The sequence below is a fragment of the Homo sapiens genome, chromosome 3 (assembly GCF_000001405.40).
Source record: "Homo sapiens chromosome 3, GRCh38.p14 Primary Assembly".
Taxonomy (NCBI): domain Eukaryota; kingdom Metazoa; phylum Chordata; class Mammalia; order Primates; family Hominidae; genus Homo; species Homo sapiens.
The window spans coordinates 57161705-57180762 of NC_000003.12; the positions used below are offsets into that span (position 1 = coordinate 57161705).

The 19058-nt window shown below is 46.8% G+C and overlaps 1 protein-coding gene across 4 annotated transcripts in view, besides 2 other annotated features; it reads right to left on the bottom strand.

Moving 5' to 3' along the window:
• IL17RD (interleukin 17 receptor D) overlaps positions 1-8613 on the bottom strand; it is an 80336-nt gene extending 71723 nt beyond the window's left edge. For 2 of the 4 annotated variants that reach the window (NM_017563.5, XM_047448369.1), the window contains exon 1: positions 3457-3649. In NM_017563.5, coding sequence (NP_060033.3) covers positions 3457-3582 — 126 coding nt within the window. In that variant the 5' untranslated portion in view covers positions 3583-3649. Of the gene's footprint in view, positions 1-3221; positions 3650-7527; positions 7691-8528 lie in introns of those variants that run through there. The other 2 variants (NM_001318864.2, XM_005265238.5) reach the window with 2 other exon arrangements.
• Positions 3428-3767: a silencer, noted in NCBI's record as "silent region_14478". NCBI's record gives its function as "represses an Ori minimal core promoter by ATAC-STARR-seq in GM12878 lymphoblastoid cells {active_cell/tissue: GM12878}" and the evidence as "EXISTENCE:reporter gene assay evidence [ECO:0000049][PMID:35858748]".
• Positions 3788-3837: a silencer, noted in NCBI's record as "silent region_14479". NCBI's record gives its function as "represses an Ori minimal core promoter by ATAC-STARR-seq in GM12878 lymphoblastoid cells {active_cell/tissue: GM12878}" and the evidence as "EXISTENCE:reporter gene assay evidence [ECO:0000049][PMID:35858748]".

Sequence of the window (19058 nt, forward strand, 5' to 3'; positions counted from 1 at the left end):
TCTAGACCAGCAAGACAAGGGGAGGGAGAACTTCAGTATGAGTGACTGACACAATTAAAGTTATGAACCAAACTTGCTTCTAGTTGCAAACAAAACCATTCCACTCTAGAAGCAAGAGCCAGTGTAAATGAGGATGGTGTGGTCCCTCTGGAGGTTTTACAAATCATTACTTCTGTGTGAACACAGTATTTATTACTCAAAGAGCAACCTTACCTGGCAAGGACCCTAAGAGAATTTTTTTTAAGTAGTTGAGGAAGTGTGCCCACAACTCATTTCTAAAACACTGACCTGTGTTCAAGATGGTATCAGCCTCTTAATTGCCCCACTAATAATGGGGAGGTTGTGAAACCTGACCACTTAAACCAGGCCAGCCCATGGCTCCTCTGGGAGCAGCCCCGAAGGGTCTGTTAGCAGGGCTGCAGAGGGTTGGCTGGCTGTAGTCACCTTGCAAGTCTTGCAAAAATACACATTCCTGCAAGGGCAAGGGTTCCTGAAACAAATGTTGCCTGGAGATCAAGGGGGTCATTTGCTCAGCTCTGCTCCAGCACCTAAATCCAGTTTCTCAGGACTTGGTGCTGCACCTTGCTGCCCCCTCTCAGGTTCTGAGTATGGCCCAGGCCCACAGAAAGCCTCCTCTGATTTGCATCACATATAGTCGACCCTTATCCTTTTATGTTCCTACAGCCCCACTGTAAGCAACCTTAGAGCTGAGGCCAACATCTATGGACTAAGTACCTCTTATTTGGTAGGGGACCCAAACATGAATCAAATACTCTAGTCACTGTGTACCAGTACTTCCTAGCTGACTCCCTGACAGAGCAACTTCTAGAAGACATGACCTAGGGAGGTGTGGACAGGGACAATTTTTTGCAGAAGTGATGCTAGGGCCGAGAAAGGAAGCTGCAGAGGTGTAAAGGAACACAGGCAGGAACAGCATGTGCAAAGACAATGGACCTTGATGCCCTGATCTTTGCCTCTACTTCTTAAAATCTATCAGGAAATACAGGATTTAGCAGGAAGGCAGCAGGGTCTAATTTGGTTCAGCCAATATTTACAGGGCTCTGACGCCACCAAGATGAGGTTCAGTGCCTGGCTAAAGAAACTAGTCTGAAGACATAGAAGTGAACAAATACTGACAAAGCTGTCTGATGAGACTAAAGTGCAAGGACCTGCATGAGAAGGTAAAGCAAGGGGCATGGCATTCAGGAGGGCTTCCCTGAGGAGGTACCACCTGAACTGAGTCTTAAGATAGGCAAGGAATTCTCAAGGGAGGAAAAGGCATCCTGGGAGGAGGGAAAAGCATGTCTTGGAAGCACAGAGGGCATCCATCCGGAGTTAGGAGCAGGATGAGAAGGGTAGGGGGTGAGGCTGGAAAGGGTGGGAATGCAAAGCATGTGGGGAAACTGGGTCCATGAAATCCACCAAGCAGCAAATCCAGGAGACAAGGAACCATGTATCAGCCTGGATGAGCCTGGAATCTGGAACATGGCCCAGAGGCCTCTACGATCGTCCAGGAGGCGAATGAGGATGACCCAAGGAAACGATTGGTGGGGCCAAGGCAGGAGCAGCTGAGAAAAGTCACCCCCAACTAGGGGCTGTGGTGGAGAAAACGTCAGCATAAGTGTGAGGTGACTGGGACAGAGCCACCATTTTATGAGGGTGCAGGTTTGGGAGAGGAGAACACACTCGCACAGGTAGAAGAAAATCACCAGCCTGGCTCCGTCAGGGCACTACCATACCCCACAGCATGGAAACTTCACGAGTTTTGTACAGTGGCATAAGAAGCCACCTTGGCAACTGCAGCAAAACAGTGAATCGGACTGATTTACCTACGCCATCACATGAACACTCAAAATAAAACGCCTGTGATATTGTAGTCATTCAAAAGCCAATAGGAGTCTAAATCCAAAATTCTAGTAGGATCCTTAAGTCAACACGAGATCCTCCTTGAGGAAACTTGCTAGCTACTAAAATTTTTTTAAACAATAAAACAAGAGCAGTAATGTTTTACTGAAATGGAACACAGTAAGAAAATGTGATGCTTTACTCAACTAGGAAGGAATGACAGAGCCTAATGGGGCGGGGGGGCGGGGGGGGAAGGGGGTGGCGGGGGCGGAGGCAGAGCAGGGGTCATAGCCGTCTCCATAGCTTAGCTACTGAGTCTGAAGACATCCCAGCTGTCTGGCTCACACCTGGTTTTCTGCACCACATTTCTTGGGACTGTGGGGCAAGTGAGCTTGGAGGCACCAGCCTGCGTGCCTAAGGGAGTGTTATGTCCTAGGTTTTGGCTGTGCTGAGGCTGTTTAGAGCCACCCAGAAGAGGCTGAGTCAACGTTCGCCTAAGCAAACCACTCCATACCTATCCCTCAGCCCAGCAATACTAAGGAAATTCTCATTTCATCCCATTTTTCATATGAAGAAATTGAGGCTCATGGCTCCCCAGGAGCAGAGCCAAGGTCATGTCCCTGCTGCCTGAGTGCAAAGCCTACGTTTTCTCCACAAGCTTAAGGCCGTGAGTGCCCTGACGCCGGGCCCACCCGGGCCTCGGTGGGAGACTCGGGGCAGACGGACATCATCTCCAGGTTCTGGGGCCGCCCAAGGCCAGAAGCCCAGGTAGGGAGCAGGGAAGCTGAGAGGGGAATGGCAATCACCCGCGCCCATCGCCCAGACAGTGTCAAAGGAGCGCTCGGTTCCACGAAGACGGCTCAATGCACACGGCGAAAGTCTGGGCACCTCTCCAGTCTCGTCTCAGGCACCTCACCCAGATGACACCCACGCGGCCCTTTGGCGGAAAAATATCCGCAACTCGAAGCAGGGAAGGAGGATATCAGCCGCGAGACCTTCACAAGACGAAGGGCTGAACCGGGAGGCGAAGTTTCTCAGGAGGTCCCGGAGTCAGAGGAGGGGTAGGAGTGGGGTGACGGCCCCAGGCGAGGAGGAACAAAGCTACTAGAAGAGCGGGGCGCATCCCTCCCCGGTGCTCCAAGTCCCCTCTCCGGCCGCCCGGGCCTTAGCAGGGTTGTGGACTGAAAGTCCGGGAGAATACCCCCTTCCCTCTCCAAAGCGCAACCCGGTCCGGGTGGCTCGGGGGATCCCAGCCCGGGACACGCAGCCCTGGGACGAAGGAGGTCCCGGGCCAAGAACAAAGGGTGGGGCGCCCGGCCCAGCCCCGCCGCCCCTCACGCCCGCCCTCTGAATGGGACCCCGGCCGGCGGCCGCACCTCATTAGCAACACAAAGCCGGGGTCGGGCAGCCGCTTTCATCTCGGCCAGGGCCGGAGGACACGCGTCCGGGGAGGGAAACCAGGAGGATGCGCGGGAGGAGTGAGACCCAGGCCGGCCGCGGACCCCGCGAAGAGCAGACAGGTTGGCGCGGGCTCGCCTCCCCGCGAGCACCTGTGCGCGCTGCGTCCCCCGCGAGTTGGCGACGGCAAGAAACCCGCCGCCCTCGCCTTACCCTCCAGCCACAGGTGTCGGCGCCCCGCGCGCGGCCGGACCCGCCAGCGGCCACAGCCAGCTGCGAGCCGTTGAGGCAGGCGTTGACCGTAAAGAAGACGGAGCAGAGCTGCAGCCACGGGGCCATGGCCGTGCGCTCGCCCAGCCAGGCCGTTCTCTGCGCCCCGGCCGCCCGCCGCTGGCCAGCCCCGAGTGGGCGGTGGCCGCGGCGGCCGCGGCGGCAGCGAAGGGGACCGCACTGGGCATGCGTTGCCAGCCCGGGCCCCGCCCCCACCCTCAGTCCTCGTGTGCTGGCCCCGCCCCCACAGCCTGGCCCTCCAGTTGTGGCCCTGCCCCCGTAGACCACGCCCCTCTGGTCACGCCCCCCAAGCCCCCACTGAGACTCTGGCAGCCGCAGTTTCTTCCCCCTCACTTAGTAGATCTTTTTTTAATCCAAAGGATTTGTCCAAGTGATGCTCACTCTATGCAAAACCTGAGGAAAACACAAAGAATGTAATAATAATAATTTTAATAATAATTTAATAAACACCTGCTATGTGCCAGACCCCTTTCTGTATACGCCCAACCACACAAGGAAGTGTATTATTGTTATCCCAGTTTTAGGCGCAGAAAAGTTAGGGGAACGTGACAGAGAAATCCTGGCTCCACATTTACTAGTAGGACTTTGGACAAAAGGCTTGCTGTCTCCACAATACTTCCTCACCACAACCCCCCGTCCCCCTCACCCTCCTGGAAGCTAGAATAAGTATCCTAGTCTGGGGAGAGTTCTGTTGGTTGAAACATAACAAGTGCTCCATAAAGGCTACAATCTATCATTAACTGACTCTCATAAGGTCACACAGCTGTTACCTGCCAGACCTGAGATCCAATCCAGACCTGACTAAAAACAATACTCTCAGCTACTACACTTGTCAAACATAACCTCATGAAGTGGATATTATTTCTGTTTGGAAGAGGAAACTGAGGCTCAGAGAAGTGGAGTAGCCCAAGCTATCCAGAGTTTCACCGCACTCTTCCCAGCGCTTTGCCTTTTATCTGAGCACCTAAACTCTCCCACTTTGTCCCTCTCCACTACCCCCTTCCTCAAGAATACCACCTCCTCTTCCTAAGGGCTTTTTCTACTTCTGACTTTGTCCCCGTGTCCGATACATTTCTCCAGCCTGGATCCAAAGTTATCTTCCAAAAACACAAATCAGACTACTGACTTATCCCAATTAAAACTCTAGGCTGAGTGCAGTGGCCAATCCTAGAGGATCGCTTGAGTTCAGGAGTTAGAGGTAACAGTGAGCTATGATCCTGCCAACCGCACTGAAGCCTGAGTGACACAGTAAGACCCTGTCTCTAAAAACAAACAAACAAACAAACAAACAAACAAACCTACCACCACCACCACCAACAAAAAAAAACAGTAAAATTATGTGTTCTGTGTTTGGAGGAGGATTAATAAAAATAAAATCAATAAATAAAACTGTTCTATGGTGGCTCTTATGCAAAGGCCATTTAGAATAAAATCCATACTGGCTTTCTCTTCCACTCTGTCTTTACCACCTGGCTCCTGCTGCACAGAACTCCCCCCAGCCCCAGCCTTATCTTGGTCTTTTTGCCTCAGGAAACCTTGGAAATTGTCACCTCCGTCCATTCAACAGGGCAGCCTCCTCTATATGACTCTCCTTCCAGGGCCCAGAATCCCCTCCCTCTCCTTCTCTGGCCTGGCCTAAGCTCAGCCACTGCTAACACAGGATTCCTGCACTTTCTCTTGTGGCTTGTGTCTCCACCACCCTGCCCACACGTCCTTGGAGGGCTTAAGTGGAGGAAGAGAACTCTTCTTGGTAATGCTAGCAGAAGTCTTGGGGATTTGCTTGGAAGTAGCTACATCTAGAACCAAGGAGTAGAGCCAGCCTCACCTGAACTTCAGGGGCTGGAAGTGTGAAACAGTGCTTGCCCAAAGGAACACTGACATTATTGCCAGGGAGAGGGAGAATGGGTGCTGGGTTCCCCAAACAACAGCATCCACCTCAAGACCCAGATGCTGGGCAGAATTTTTTTTTTTTTTACCTCACTGCCTGGAATTCAGGAATTCAGCCAGACCCAGTGAGGTTTACCATACCCTCTTCAGACACCAGAATAGCTAGGATCCACAGAAGGCTGTTCTGGAGTAGCCTTCTGTGAATAGACCTCAGGAAGCACATCACTCCTTTGGAGGAGCTGCTGGTTCAGTGCCTCCCTACCCTCCCTCACATTCTTGGTACTGTCCCTGGGTTGTTCTCAGCCCCCACAGCAAGGATGTCCAGCGTTTGGCCATGAGAGTCAGGGGTGCCAGGGGCTGAGATGAGGCCAGGACCATATGGGTTTTGGTGAAACAGGGAGGAAACAATGAGGCGACCAGCTCCTTAATCTATGTGACATTCCAGCCTATACATGCTTTATAACTTATTAAACAACCCCATGCTAAGGGACATCTGTTAGAATCAGTGATTCAAAAATACCCTAACACACTTACCTTGACACATTGATTCAATGATTTTATACATTTCTAGAATCAGAATTGCTGGATTATGCACATTTAAAATTGTCAAACTGTTCATTATGGTATTATCACCATCTTAATTGGCTTCTCTGGTTGCGAATGAGGTAGATCATGTTCCTATGTATTTGTTGGCCATTTGTATTCTTTCTCTTTTTTTTTCTTTGAGACGAAGTCTCACCCTGTCACCCAGGCTAGAGTGAGTGATGCAATCTTGGCTCACTGCAACCTCCGCTTCCCAGGTTCAAGCGATTCTCCTGCCTCAGCCTCCCGAGTAGCTGGGATTACAGGCGCGCAACACTGCACCCAGCTAATTTTTTGTATTTTTAGTAGAGACGTGGTTTCACCATGTTGGTCAGGCTGGTCTCGAACTCCTAACCTCAGGTAATCTGCCTGCCTCAGCCTCACAAAGTGCTAGGATTACAGACGTGAGCCACCACTCCTGGCCCATTTGTCCTCTTTCAGGAATTGGACTCCAGGAAAAGGAGCAGTACTTAGCACTTACAAGAGAAAGAGAACCTCAAGGAGAACATTGGTTAGAGAAAACTGTTTCTCCCTGGGTTTTACTCATGTCACCATATGATTGCATGACAGGGAAGGCAGAGCCCCACTCCTGCTCCCTTTCTGTCTGCACACCCACCCACTATTGAATTCCCTCCCATCCACAGCTCACTGCAGAATCTGGCAACCGACAGCCTCTGAAAACATGCTGCAGGGTTCAGAGAGAGCACAAGCTTTCCTGAAGCCATGTGGAGGGCACAAGAAGGAAAAGCCTTAAGCGTCCAGTCTAAAACATGCCTAGAATGACATCCCTCAGGACCAGGGATGGGGAGGCCCTCCTATTTCCTTTCTAGGAAGGCCACCAGCATGTATGTGAGTGGCAGGAGAGCCACAGACACCAAAGGGTCAAATCTGGTCAGGAAATTAAGGTTGTAAATTGGCATTTGGCAACATTCTCTGTATTCTGGTCTTTCCCATTGATTCTCCCATCTCCTCCTTTCTGGTTTTTTTGTGTTGTTGTTGTTTTTGTTGTTGTTTGTTTGTTTGTTTGAGACGGAGTTTTGCCCTTGTTGCCCAGGTTGGAGTGCAATGCCATGGTCTCGGCTAATTGCAACCTCCACCTCCCAGGTTCAAGCGATTCTCCTGCTTCAGCTTCCCAAGCAGCTGGGATAACAGGTGCCTGCCACCATGCCTGGCTAATTTTTCATATTTTTAGTAGAGGTGGGGTTTCACCATGTTGGCCAGGCTGGTCTGGAACTCCTGATGCCAGGTGATCCACCCACCTCGGACTTCCAAAATGCTGGGATTAAAGGCGTGAGCCGCCGCTCCCAGTCTCCATCTCCTCTTTTTATCCCAACCCTTCAGAATAGCTGTAAGGCTGCAGGGAGTGGACCTCTCTGTCCTGGAAGCTGAGCTAAAATGAGGGGACCAGGCCCCACATGCCTTTCATGGATCACAGTTTCCTCCAGGCCACAGTGGAGCTCAGCTGTGGAGGTGACCAGAAGATGAGCTAGGGAAACCCTCCCTCAATACAACACTTGGTCTCACCTGCCAAGGCCAGGATTGCCTGTAGTCCAGTCACACTTTCAGCCACTCCTCGTGGTGAGAGGTGGCTGTCATCTGATTCACCTCTGCCCCCATGCCTAGCACTCTGTCTGGCACGCTTCAGTGGGCAAGAGACTGTCACCACCTCCCCCTCTTTGGAACAAAGCTGAGAATTAAACAGATAAAATCACCTTAAAATAAGCTGTTGATGAAATGTAAATATATTTTCCCACTCTAATTATAACCTAGCCAGATAAGAAAAATCCTTAACGCAAGGATTGGATTTTGTTAGGGGTCAAATTATCCCGTGAAACATAAAAAAAGATAAAGTGATGGTGGAAGTAATTTGTATCATGAATCATTTTGAGCAGGGAATAACTAAATACTATTTTAATGAACAGTGTTAGAAGCAGTCGGCCCAAATTCTAATTTATTTTGGTATTGTGAGAAATTAGTGTATGTTTTCTGTATTAATAAAGACATTAAAGGTAAAGAGTGTCACTGTACCCCTGACCCCAGTCTCCCAGAGGGCTGAGGGTGCAAGGTTTCCCAGGCTTTGGAGGGAGCAGTATGTGGAGAACTGGTACCCACCTGCAAGCCCTTAGTCCCTGAGACCCCACAAGACTGCCTGGATGTCAATCAGGCTACCTGGCAGTCTTGGCTCCAATGGGGTAGGCGTCATCATCCCCACTGCACAGATGGGGAAGCTGATGCTCAGCGAGGGGAAGTCTGCTCGCGGTCACAGAGCTGGGGTTCAAACCGGACCCCGATCGCCTGGCCTGGGACCGCCTTGCCTGGGACGAAAGGCCCCAGACTCAGCTGATTCCTCCAGACTCTTCCTGTCTAGGACGCCAAAAACATGGCCTTCCTAAACCCAGCCTTGGCGCCTCCTGCACAGCCCAGAGACCCAGGGCGGCGGACAACAGAAAACCTGGGGCGGCGGACCCAACCCTGCGCCCAGAAATCCCAGGACGCCCACCCCATAGTTCTGGAGCGGTGCGTACCTTGGCCACTACACGGAATTCACCGGCCCACGGCCACTTCCCGTTTCTTTTCCCGGAGGAAAAGAAGAGCGGATGTCTAGTCTCCAAGGTAACCGCGAGGGGGCGCGCGCAGTCCAGGTCGGAGACCGCCGCCCCAGACTACCCTGCACTGCGACCGCACAACAAGTCTTTCTAGATCAAAGCCGCCAGGGCAGGTGGGAGTACTCTGCTGTTATTCAGAGCTGGTGCTAAGCTTTAGGGGAAGTAGAGTCCAGGGGGTCGTAAGAAAACGGATCAAATGGGTCCTTTCAGTAACCATGTGGCTTTGGGCAACTCCATCTCTCTGGATGTCAGTTTTCTCAGATGGCAATACTGGAATGACGGGGATGCAGACCTCGGGTTTTTTTTGTTTGTTTGTTTTTTGTTTTTTTTCCGAACCTGAAGTAAGCAAATGACTTAGAGCCTGAGTGAATGTTACTGCAGGTAGTGGACCAGGAGTTGATGCAGCCAGGGCCAGCTCTTATTTGCAATTCAGTTAAGACCTGGGGAAATGGCCACGTCTAATCTTCAGGAGATAACATCCTGGCTTGGATCCGCACTATACTGGAAGGCTAAGGACCATATCCTGTTTTCCATTCATTAATTAATTCATTTAACAAGTATCAATGGAATCTCTGCACCATATCAGACATTATGCCAGGAGTGGGGATCAGAGTGAACAACAGGGCACTGTCATAGTTGTCATTAACCTGCAAACAAACATTCCATGGAGGACACTGGCATTACTCAAATAGCCCTATGACTAGGGAGGAATTACTAGTAGATGAGTTGTTTTTGAAGAAGGGATCCCTGAGCTAAGATTCCAAATATAAGAGTTACCTGGGCAAAGGGGAGGGGAGCAGAGAGAGGAGAACTGTTCTGGGCAGAAGGAATAGCATGTGCAAAGGCCCTGGGGCAGTAGGGAATGTGGCAACTTCAAGGAGCTGAAAGAGGCTAATGTGGTTGGAGAGCAGTCAGGTGTGGCGGAATGGTGCAAGGTGAGCTGGTGAGGCCTACAGGGGCAGCCAGGCAGTACTTTATGTCCTGGTTTGAACCTAAAAGTAGCTAACAGCTTCTTAGGATTACTTTAAGGGCAGAAGTGGGGCTATATTTTGAAAAGATTCCTGTATTCCAAGTGCTGAGCACAGGGTATTTCCTGGCATTTAGCCAGCATTTGATAAATACTGTTGAGTGAATGAATGAATGATCACCATCTTTACTGAAATTCTGAGTTTTAATGTCTTGAATGAATCCAAGACTCATTAAAAACCCTAGGAAAACATCCAACCCTACTAAAGCTCCAAATAATGCGAATGAAACAAACTGCAGAAACATTTTCTTGTCATCTTTTGAGGTTATTTTTATTTTGTAAATTTCTGTCTTATTTTTAATAGACTTTTAAAAGAATAATTATAGATTTACAGAAAAACTGAGATGACGGTACAGGAGTTCTTATACAAAAGAAACCAGAGTTTCTTTAGTTATTAACATATTACATTAGTAAGGCACAATTAATGAACTGAGGCTGATACATTATCATTAAAGTCCAAACTTTATTCAAATTTCCTTAGTTTTTACTTAATATCCTTATTCTATCCAGGATCCCAGCCAGGGTATCATGTTACAGTTAGTTGTCATGTCTCAGGTTCCTCTTGGCTATGACAATTTTTCAGACTTCCATTGTATTTGGTGACCTTGACAGGTTTTTTTTTTTTTTTTTTTTTTTTTTTTGGAGACGGAGTCTCACTCTTGTCACCCAGGCTGGAGTGTAATGGTGCGATCTTGGCTCACTGCAATCTCTGCCCCCCAGGTTCAAGCAATTCTCCTGCCTCAGCCTGCCAAATAGCTGAGATTACAGGCGCCTGCCGCCATGCCCAGCTAATTTTTTTTGTATTTTTAGTAGAGATGTGGTTTCACCATTTTGGCCAGGCTGGTCTTGAACTCCTGGCCTCAGGTGATCTGCCCGCCTTGGCCTCCCAAAGTTCTGGGATTACAGGTGTGAGCCACTGTGCACAACCGAATTCATACCTTCTATGGCTGAGTAGTATTCCATCATATATATATATATATATATATATATATATATATATATATATATACCATAGTTTCTTTATCCACTCATTGATTGATGGGCATTTGGGCTGGTTCTGTATTTTTGCAATTGTAAATTGTGCTGCTATAAACATACATGTTTATATATGTATGTTTACATGTATGTGCAAGTATCTTTTTCGTATAATGACTTCTTTTCCTCTGGGTAGATACACAGTAGTGGGATTGCTGGATCAAATGGTAGTTCTACTTTTAGTTCTTTAAGGAATCTCCACATTATTTTCCATAGTGGTTGTACTAGTTTACATTCCCACCAGCAGTGTAGAAGTATTCCCTTTTCACCACATCCATGCCAACAACTATTATTTTTTGATTATGGCCATTCTTGCAGGAGTGAGGTGGTATCACATTGTGGTTTTGATTTGCATTTCCTTGATTGTTAGTCCCATGCCGGGCTAATTTAAAAAAAAAAAATCCATAGACAGGGCTTTTCCATGATGCCCAGGCTGATCTCAAACTCCTGGGCTCAAGCAATCCTCCTGCCTCAGCCTTCTAAAGTGCTGGGATTACAGGCTTGAGCCACTGTGCCTGGCCTATATTTCTTACTATCCAACAGAAGCTCTTTCTTATTTAGTTGTTGTCCCTTTTGCTGAGCATCTTGTTCTTGCTTAAAGAAGTAATTCTTTCTCTTATCTCTCTGAGGAAATAGTTTTATTGAAGGTCTCTTCTGTTTCCTCCAAATGCCTTTTTTCTGTTTGTTTGAAATTTTAAAACAGAATCAACTTTTTATGGCTCCTCTAAAAGTGGAAAATAGATATGCTATATTAGCAGGTTAGGACTTAAACTGGGTAATTGACATCCACAAGGATCGAAGATAGGTCACATATATCAAGAGGAAAGAGGTTCCACTGAACCACTCAAATGAGATGTGGTTGATAAACAACCTGGAGCAACCGTGGCAACTCTTAGCCATTTTACTCTGTGAATTATCACACCTATAATGTTTAGCTCTCCCTTCACCTAGATGAATTGTTTTTTGTTTTCTCTGATACCATCATGAATCTAAATGATATGACTTGTGATATAAATGAATACATAATCATAATGAATAGCGTTTTTATATTCAACTGTTAATCTAGCAAGCATTTATTGAGTGTCTCCTGTATGCCAGGCACTGTGCAAGGCACTGGAAAGGAATATGATCAAGGTCATGATGTCCTTGCCCTCCAGGAACTCACTCTCCAGGGCAGTCCCTTACACTTAGCAGAGTCCAGTGCCAGTGAGACTGAGGGGCAGCCACTTGCAGTTCCATTTAACAGACGTGAAGGATGTGAGGCTCCGGGTGGTTCCCTGGTTTGCCTAATGACACGCAGCTATTTGGAGACTGTGCTGCATCATGAACCCAAATCTTCCTCTCCTACACTCTTTGTTTCAAAAGCTCGGGTATAAATAGAAGCCAGAGAAAATGAACCACAAAAGGAGAGTTCAGAGAGACAGGGGGAGAACTAAGAGGAAACCAAGGGGAAAAAGAGTTTCAAAGTATTTGCTCAGGCCCTAGCCTCCCCTGTTTACATTTTAGCAGGGACTGGCTCAGGGCACTCAGTGGGGGAACAGGGCCTGCAGGAGCACCTAGGAGACAAGGAGAAGTTTCTGGGAAAGAGAGGACAGAGGAGAAGAAAAGACATGCTGTGTTCATTTTACAGTTGCAGGGAATGTTTTCTCTACTCTTTTAGAGTTAAATCCTCGTGGGCAATAATCCTCAAATTGAATAACTTACACACCTAGAAGCAGTGGCTGGCAACTGGGTGGGTCAGAGCCTTCTAGGGTGTCCTCTCCATTGCAGGGGGAAGGCCAATGTCCCTCAGTTGTGAAAATATGCAATGAGCTGTGACTCTGGTCTCTCAGCCAACCCAGTGCCATTGCAAGAAATTGCAAGAAATTCTAAATTTCTGGCCAGGTGCGGTGGCTCATGCCTGTAATGCCAGCACTTTGGGAGTCTGTGGCAGACAGATCACTTGAGATCAGGAGTTTAAGATCAGCCTGGGCAATATGGCGAAACCCTGTCTCTACTAAAAATACAAAAATTAGCTGCACATGGTGGTGCGAGCCTGTGGTCCCAGCTACTCGGGAGGCTGGGGCACGAGAACTGCTTGAACCTGGGAGGTGGAGGTTGCAGTGAGCCGAGATTGCGCCACTGCACTCCAGCCTGGGTGACAGAACGAGACTCTGTCTCAAAAAAAGAAAAGAAAACAAATTCTAAATTTCTGAATGTAAGCTAAATTTTGCTAGAGGTGGAGCAAGGATTACAGATCTCAAAAACAGCAGCAGAGCAAAACATTGAGCCAAATTCATGAGCAAAAGTCAGCCCCATGCCAGCAATGAAATCCACCAAGCACCCTCCCTGCCAGGCTGCTTCCTCCTCCCACAGGAGCCACCCAAAGATTCAGGTGGGACAGCAGCTCTGCACCCCTGCCTGGGACAGGTGGAATCCCCTGCAGGTTGGCAAAGGCATGGGTAGGGTGGGGAGGAGTGTGAAGGAAAGTGGTTCACTCTTCACTGGAGAGATCAGATGGTAACTTCCATTGGCCTTTCTCAGCTTGACTAAAGATATACATTAAAACCCGAAACCTAAAATAAATTCTTCCATTGCTGCTGGCTGCCATTATGTAATGTCTCACAGTGTTTCCCAGGGACCCTCCAGGCGGTCTCATTTACTGCTTTGGGTGCTCTTCCAGCTTTGTTCATGACTTCCAAACTGCTCTCCATAAAAGTGAGCCATATGTACATTGGCTACTCTCAACATAGTTTATACCTTCAAAAGCATGCATATATCATCATGAGGCCAAGGTTGAGAATGGTATGCAAGTCCATAGATTGGGTTCCTTTTTTAAAAACCTGGCAACATTTCAGGCTAATTTTTTAAAAAGTTTTTGAAATAATTTTAAACTTACGGAAATGTTGCAAAAATAGCTCAGAGTACCCATATGCTCTCCACTCAACTTCCTCTAATGTTAACCTTTTATAGTATAACCATAGCACCATAATCAAAACCAGAAATTTAACACTAAAATACTACTGCGTAATCTACAGACATTACTGGAAATCCACCAGACTTCCCACTATTTTTTTTTTTAAGAGACGGAGTCTCTCACTCTGTCACCCTGGATGGAGTGTAATGGCAATATCGCAGTTCACTGCAGCCTCAAACTCCTGGGTTTAAGCAAACCTCCTGCTTCAACCTCCCAAGCAGCTGGGACTACAGGAGTGTGCCACCATGCCCAGCTAATTAAAAAAATTTTTTTGAGACAGGAATCTCACTAGGTTGTTCAGCCTGGTCTTGAACTCCTGGCCTCAAGCAGTCCTCCCACCTCAGCCCCCTGAGTCACTGGAATTACAGGCATGAACCACCACACCCAGCTCTAATGTCTCATTTTTAAAAACAGTTTTTTAAATTTTAGAATGTTTAGATTTGCAGAAAAATTGAAAAGATAGTACAGAATTTCCATACACTCCACAACCAGTTTTCCTTACTATTAACATCTTACATTAGTATGATGTATTTGCTCCAATTAATTAACCAGTATTAATACCTTATTATTAACTAAAACCTATACTTGATTCTCATTTCTTTAGTTTTTAATGTAATGTTCCAGGATCCGATCCAAGATACCACGTAATACCTAGTTGTCGTATCTCCTTAGGCTCCCCTTGGCTGTGATAGTTTCTCAGACTTTCCTTGTTTTTTCATGACCTTGACAGTTTTGAGGTATACTAGTCAGATATTTTGTAGGCTACCCCTCAATTGTAATTGGCTGGTGTTTTTCTCATAAGTAGACTATGCTTGTGGATTTATTTTTATTTAGAGATAGGGTCTTGCTACATTGCCCAGCTGGAATGCAGTGGCTATTCACAGGCACAATCATAGTGGACTGTAGCCTTGAATTGCTGGGTTCAAGGGATCCTCCCACCTCTGCCCCCTGGTAGCTGGGACTACAGGTGCACCACCATGTCTGGTTCAGGGTTATGGATTTTTAAGACAAGGTCATGGAGGTAAAGTGCTGTCTTTATCACATCATATCAAGGGTCCACTGACGTCCTTTTTCTGGTTCAGAATACAATCCAGAATCCTGGACATACACTAATTGCACTTAGTTGTTTTGTCTCCATGGTCTAGTTTAATCTGTGTATATTAGTCCATTCTCACACTGCTATAAAGAACTACCTGCCCTGCGTGGTTTCTCACGCCTGTAATCCCAGCACTTTGGGAGGCTGAGGCAGGTGGATTGCCTGAGGTCAGGAGTTCAAGACCAGCCTGGCCAACATAGTGAAATCCTGTCGCTAATAAAAATACAACAAATTAGCTGGGCGTGGTAGCGGGCGCCTGTAATCCCAGCTACTAGAGAGGCTGAGGTGGAAGAATCACTTGAACCTGGGAGTTGGAGGCTGCAGTGAGCTGGGATTGTGCCATTGCACTCCAGCCTGGGCAACAAGAGGGAAACTCCGTCTCAAACAAACAAACAAAGAACTACCTGAGACTGGGTAATTTATAAAGAAAAGAGGTTTACTTGACTCACAGTTTCACAGGCTTAACAGGAAGCATGACTGGGAGGCCCTCAGGAAACTTACAATCATGGCAGAAGGCAAAGGGGAAACAAAGCATATCTTACAAGGTGGCAGGAGAGAGAGAGTGAGCAGGGATGTGCCACACACTTTCTTTTTGTTTTGTTTTGTTTTGTTTTGTTTTGTTTTTTGAGACGGAGTCTCGCTCTGTCGCCCAGGCTGGAGTGCAGTGGTGCGATCTCTGCTCACTGCAACCTCTGTCTCCCGGGTTCACGCCATTCTCCTGCCTCCCGAGTAGCTGGGACTACAGGCGCCCGCCACCACGCCCGGCTAATTTTTGTTTGTTTGTTTTTTAGTAGAGACGGGGTTTCACCCTGTTAGCCAGGATGGTCTCGATCTCCTGACCTCGTGATCTGCCCGCTTCAGCCTCCCAAAGTGCTGGGATTACAGGTGTGAGCCACCGCACCCAGCCTGCTTGGTGGAGATATTTTAGATGGTGCAAATATCCTGTTACTCCTCAAACTTTTGTTGTTGATTTTAGCATTCATCAGTGGATCTGGCATTTAAAAATTGTTACTGCAGTGTTCTAATAGTGATTTTCAAATTTCTCTTATTCCCTCTTTATTTATTAATTGGAATTCTGTAAGGAGAAGTTTACTGTCTCTTTTCTACCATTATTTATTCAATTATTTATATAAATATGGACTCATGAATATTTTATTTGGTAGGTTTTATTCCTGTACTATTATAATTTAATTTGGTGCTCAATTTTTTTCAGCTTTGGCTGTTGAGAACACCTTCAGGGTGGTCCTGTGTCCTTTCTGTATGCCCTATCATTTTTTTTTTTTTAGTATGTCCTTACTTCCTGGTACACGAAAATGTCCCAGGGTCATGTTGTATTTCCTGTGTCCTAGTACTGGAATCAACAATTTCTTTTCTTTTTTTTTTTTTTTTTTTGAGACAGAGTCTCACTTTGTCACCCAGGCTGGAATGCAGTGGCGCGATCTTGGCTCACTGCAACCTCCACCTCCTGGGTTCAAGTGATTCTCCTGCCTCACCCTCCGAGTAGCTGGGATTACAGGTGCCCACCATCATGCCCAACTAATTTTTATATTTTTAGTAGAGACAGGGTTTGCCCAGGCTAATCTCAAACTCCTGACCTCAGGTGATCCACCCACCTTGGCCTCCCAAAATGCTGGGATTACAGGTATGTGGAATCAATAATTTCTATAAGGATTTTTGGTTCCTTTTACTGGAGAATGATATTTAGAAATCAAGACCTAAGCACTAGGTGAGCGCATTGCTACTGGGGTATCATTGCTCCTAGTCCCTCCCAGCAGACAGAGCTGGGAAATGTATGTATGTATACTAACACACACATACACACACACATGAAGCCATGAGTTTATACTAATAAATTCAATTCTAATCCAATATTGTAGGTTCAATCCAGCCTTCTCCCTTTCCTTGTCACTTCTTTTTTCCACAGCAAGAAACCTGGCTGTCTTTATTCACAATACATTCTCTTATTTGCTTCTGCCGGCACCGCAATATTGCTGCTGACTCACAGAATACCTTATCCAACATCATCCCCAAATCATTGCATCTGATAAAAAGTGAAATGTCACAGCAAAGAAAGTGTAACAGTGGACTCATGCTCATGAAATTAACTGTTCTTATTACATACCCCATTACCCTGAGGCAGCAGACATAATTAAAAGTTGACAAAATTTACTGAAGACTTTATTATGGTGCCATTTGGGAAATAATACCCTGACAGGATGGATTCTGTCTTATAGGATGCGGTATATATTTTGAATTAGGGATCATCATATGGTGCTGTCTCCCTCTTAGCCACAATAAATAGCTCCATGATGCAAGGAGTAGAAGTGGAAGTGGCTTCTCTCACTATTACATACTAACCCTCTTGCAGGATTTTTGCTTCCCTTCCCTGCAACTTTGAGCTCTGCTGGTTTAGAGGTCTTAATCCCCAAAGGGAACCCAATAATGGTTCCGTTGAATTGAAAGATAGGAATGCCACATGGCCATTTTGGACTCCTTATGCCACTGAAAGGTGTTACTCTACTGGCCAGAGAGACTGATCTCTATTACAAGGGGGAAATTTTTGGATCATTGCTATACAACGGGGACAAGGAAGACTATGTTTGGAACCCAGGGATTCTCCAGGGCACCCCTTAGTACTTCCATGCCCAATAGTAAGGGTTAACGAACAACTAGAGCAACCAGAAAAGGCAAGGCAATTGAGTACTCAGAGTTCTGGGGGACTAAGGTTTGGGTCAGTCCACCAGGTAAAGAACCCTAACTAGCTAAGTTTCTGGCTGAGGTTAGGGAAATATTGAATGGGTAGAGGTAGAAGGAAGTCATGTATATCAATTATGTCTTATGACCAATTAAGGAAAATACATTCTATTTGCTTGTTATGTGTGTTTGTCTATATAAATCATTTTCTCCTTCTTTCTCTTCTTGCCATTTTAATTTATATACAAGTTGCTAAAGTTAATGCTACAGTTTAGTCTTTAGGTAACAGAAGATTCCATGGGACTGTGACTGAATATAAGAAATAATTAGTAGAGCCAGGAATGGATGTAATGATTGTTGGGACTGAGTGTCTTCTCATTTGGGGGAGAGCATGAGGACATCTTCATTTCTAAGATGAATAGCTCTATCTTGTTAGGTAGAATTGTAGAGGTGATTTGTTGTATAAAGGTTCAAATGTGTGTAGAAGGGAGCATATGGAAGGTGAACAGCCGAAGAGGAGAACTCTACCAGTTATCAATTTATTGCCTCTCAGAACCAAATTCACCCTTCATTACCTGATGCTAAGCAAAAATGGATCTGGTCCATTTAATTATTTTCATTTGTCAGCTAGCACTATGTTAAACTCTGTCAGTAGAGGGTGATGGAGAGACATTGTAGGAGGAAGGAGGAAAACCTGGTTGCTGTGTTCCTTCCATCAGGCTTCTGCAGTGTGGGCTTCTTCTCCAGCATCCACTCCTGCAGCACTGGTGGCTTTTCTAGCACCTGCATTGCAGGCAGCTTCTCCAGTGTTCAGCTCCTACAAACACAGCTTCCCCAGTGCCATGTTCCTACAGCAGCTGGCTCCTGCAGTGCATGGCAGCCAGAAGTGCCCGTGGCCAGCAGCTTCCCCTGGCACTCCTTTTGAACAGTTTCATAGCAGAGTGCCTCCAGAGAAACACCTTCCCATGAAAGCTTTCCCTGGCACTATACTGGGTGGATTTGTGACAAGTTCTGACACGGAAGCCTCACAGCAACTTCTCTGCCATTCAGTGAGGTATGGCTGTGTCCCTTCCAGTGGCGTCTGATCTCTGACCTGGGGAGAGGGCCCTTCCTTGCATTGTCTCTCTCAGCCGTAGGCAGTGGCTGCTCCTCCTGTATGCTATTGCTACATTCTTTAGCATTCTCTCTACTTCTTACTAGTGAATCCATCACTTCTCCAATCTTTTATTATAGTTAATAATTCCTTATATTAAACTTTCCCTGTTCAAATTACTATGTAGTTTGTCTACTGACTGGACCCAGACTAGTCTGCACAAAGAATAGTTTCAGAATTGCTAACTCATTAACTCATTCCCCTGTGAGAGCCATAGACAGAAACAAATCTACTAACAAAACTATAATCTTTTTTTTTTTTTCTTTTTGAGACGGAATCTCGCTCTGTCACCAGGCTGGAGTGCAGTGGTGTGATCTTGGCTCACTGCAACCTCTGCCTCCCAGGTTCAAGTGATTCTCCTACCTCGGCCTCTTGAGTAGCTGGAACTACAGGTGCATGCCACCACGCCCAGCTAATTTTTGTATTTTTTAGTAGAGACTGGGTTTCACCATGTTGGCCAGGATGGTCTCGATCTCTTGATCTCGTGA